The sequence below is a fragment of the Homo sapiens genome, chromosome 8 (assembly GCF_000001405.40).
Source record: "Homo sapiens chromosome 8, GRCh38.p14 Primary Assembly".
In the NCBI taxonomy this organism is placed as follows: Eukaryota; Metazoa; Chordata; class Mammalia; order Primates; family Hominidae; genus Homo; species Homo sapiens.
In genome coordinates, this window is record NC_000008.11 from 142,095,853 (window position 1) to 142,099,389 (window position 3,537).

General features: G+C 56.6%; 1 annotated feature.

Moving 5' to 3' along the window:
- Window positions 408-1,006: an enhancer, noted in NCBI's record as "H3K4me1 hESC enhancer chr8:143177621-143178219 (GRCh37/hg19 assembly coordinates)". NCBI's record gives its function as "activates a minimal SCP1, AML or CMV promoter by ChIP-STARR-seq in naive H9 embryonic stem cells {active_cell/tissue: H9 hESC(naive)}" and the evidence as "EXISTENCE:reporter gene assay evidence [ECO:0000049][PMID:30033119]".

Sequence of the window (3,537 nt, forward strand, 5' to 3'; positions counted from 1 at the left end):
CTTGGGGTGTCTAGGGGGCATCCAGACGGGGCTGCAGGAGGGCAGGGTATGGAGGCAGATTGGGGTGCACTACAGATGAGAGGGAAGCAGGAGCTGCTGCTGCGGAGAGGGTGGGGGAGCCGGTGGGAGGGGCCTCTGTTACCACCCTCCACCCACGGAAGCACACCAGGGAAAATCACCGCCACTATCAGTGGCCGCCACACGCCAGGCACTGGGTGAAGCGCTGTCTGCGATTTTCTCCTTGAATCCTCCTGGGGCAGTGGGGAAGAGGGGAGGGCAAGTTTCATGAGTCCCCAGAAGAGTTAGGAAGGAGTCAGGGAGGACGGAGAGAGGATGCCTTCAGTCCCTAGCCCTGCACCCCACCTGGCCTGGCTCCTCCTCACTGCTCTGCTAAGCACCGCCCTCTCCAGGCAGCCTCTGCAGGTGCCCCCAGCCTGCTCAGGAGCCTCTGAACTTCCCTGGGGGACAGGCGACCTCCTGCCTCTCCAGGGCCGCAGCACACAGCTCAGGCCTGGCTCAGGGGCAGCACAGGTTAGTGTTTACAGAATTAGTGGAAGAATGAACGACTAGCCGGGAACGACTAGCACAAATCACATGACTTCTTACCTTTGAGAAGACAATGCAAGCACACAATGCCCAGCCATTCACTTTGCAGGCAGCTAGTGACTCCCACAAGAAGCTGGGGCTGCTGCTGCCACTTCACCTTCCCCGGTCACTCCGTGCCTGACCAGGCAGATCCCAGCAACCCTGATGGGCAAGGTGGGGCTCAGGAAGATCCCACCAACCCTGATGGGCGAGATGGGGTCCAGGCAAGGCCCTCCAACCCTGATGGGCAAGGCGGGATTCAGGAAGATCTCACCAACCCTGATGGGCAAGGTGGGATTCAGGAAGATCCCACCAAACCTGATGGGCGAGGCAGGGTCCAGGCAGGGCCCTCCAACCCTTATGGGCGAGGTGGGGTCCAGCCAGATCCCACCAACCCTGATGGGCAAGGCGGGGTCCAGGCAGGCCTCCCTCTCTTTGCTTTAGTTGTTTGTCCCTTTTTGTCTCCTTGACCCAACTCAACCCAAAAATCCACCAATCTAATGGGCGTGGGTGGATTTTTTGTTCTATTATGTTTTGGCCAAATGTGCACATGGAATCCATACATATTTCCAGTTTCCATAAATGACCCCATCAGGCTCTTGCCCTTTTCCCTCCGCACTGCCCTAGGGTCATCGAATGTTTTCCTTCCGCCTGCTGACAAGTGTGCCACGGGGGACCCCCATTCCCCCATTTCCCCACAACAGGCACCCAGGCATCCTCAAACTCCCACACCACAAATACACACCTGGCACTTCCCCTCCACAAGGGAGAATTCCCTGGGGCCATGCACCCAAGAGTGCAGATGCCAGGCACAGGCCACGGGTGTGCCCACCTTGATCAGTGGCACCTCCAGACCACAGCCTGCCTACCTATCACCATCCAGCTTTTTAGCCTCACCCCATCCTTCTCTCGCCACAGCCAGCACACCAGTCGCAGCCCCAGTCATGCCAAAGATCCTAATAAAAACCCTCCCAGCAGGGCCCTGGGACATCCTGCAATGGACAGGCATGGTGCTCAGCTGCAACTGGTGAGCTGCAATTCCTGGATATTTACAAAGGAAAATGTAATTTTATTTTCATTTTCTGTATAATGTAATTAATGCTTTAGTTTTACCCCAAGATCATAACTGAAGTGACCAGTGCCTGGCAGGATGTCTGGGGGCCTCGGCGTGGGGATTTGCATGTACACGTGTGGGCTACACGTGTGGGGATGCACGTGCATCCGCATGTGGACTATCACATGGGTTAGAAACCCGTCAAGTGCCTTCTCCCACCTGGAATCCACCTGTCTGTGTCTCTGAGCCATCCGGCCTGAGTTCTCCTCCCCTGAAATCTTGCATGGGAATGGGAGCTCACGGGTGTGTCCTCGGTGCTAAGCTGAGACTCCACTGGAAGCCGGGCTGATTGGGGAAGAGCAGAGCCCTGAAGCCACAGGCTCAGCTGGACTCTGGCACTGCCCCCTTCCCCCTGACTCTGACCAGACCCTGCCTCTCAGCCTCTGGTCTACATCCCAGCCTCCAGCCCCACAGAATCAGGGTCAAAAACAGAAACTGCCCAACACCCATCAGCAGAAAGACAGATGGATGTGGATAAGCAGGTCACAGATGGGACACTACAGAGGCCAGCAGCCAGCACGAGTGGCAGCGAGGATGAACGCAACACCTCGTGCTGAGCTGCAGAAGCCTGCAGACTGCACAGCGGGCGCCCTTTACATAAATGCCAGGGCTGCGGACACAGCAGATCGGCTGCTATGGGCTGGGTGGGCGAGTGGGGTGAGGAGGCGAGTGGGGTGGGGGAGGCTGACCCCCAGTCCAGGTGAGCTTTGGGAGGTGATGGGAATGCGCTGTCTGGATTGTGCTGGTGGTTATGTTACAGATTTGTCAAAACACATCAAACTGCCACTTCAAACGGGGCATTTTATGGCATGTCAATTACACATCAATAAAGTTGGCCGTTGACTGTACAAAGAGGAGAGGGTGATTTCCAAGTCGCAGCACCAGTGGGAGGGGTCTTCATTATTCCGTCGATTTGCCACAGGCCTCAGGAGGAAAGGGGTGGCCAGCAGCCCTGGGGACTGGGAGGCGGGAGTTCACCACCGCGGCCCTGCCCGCTGCCCACACTCCTACCCGAGACTCCCACCATCCCTGGGCATCTGAGCCGCAGGAGCACAGCTGACTGTCATCAATACTGTTCCTTAATTAAGCGGTAATTGGTTCTCTAAAGATATTTATTGACTTCAAGTGTCTATGTAATCAGACGTATCTTACACAGTTGTAAAGGCTCGTTAATTTATTTTAATAATTAAGTGGCACTTAATGAAATAGAAATAACTGTCCAACCTCATCCACACTAGACCTTGAAGACACCTGACTTGATGGGCCCCTATACAGCCACCAGAACCTCTGACCATCCTGGGGCCCCAGCCAGGGGACAAGCAGGCTGTGTGTGGACAGACCCCATGAAGCTGGGGGGTGTCCAGGATGGAATGAACCCTGACACCCACCTGTCTGAGGCCTCAGCACCACATCCTGCAGAAATGGTCCTGAGAGAGACACAGAATCGAGGTCCCAGCCCCAGGCTTCTTGGTCCCCTGGGATCAGGTCTCCATCCAAGTCCCTCCTGCCCGCTCGGGTGGGGGCACAGACGACCAGCTCCTGCTGGGCATTTCCACCATGGTGCGTTGAATCCTCATGCCTGCCCTATAAGGTTATTCCCATGTTTCAGATGAGGAAACTGAGGCGTAGCAAGATGTGGTAACTTTGCCCACAGTGACCAGGTGGAGGGGCAGTGCCAGGAGGTGCTCAGCACACCAAGGCCGCCTCCAGGCCGCACACAGAGGTGGCTGCCTCCTTCCCCCGCTGGGAGGCATAGACGGCCAGGAGATGCACGCGGCCCCAGCCAGCCCTCGGGTTCATCTCTGCCAGAATCTGCCTGCTTTGCCCAGTGAATCAAA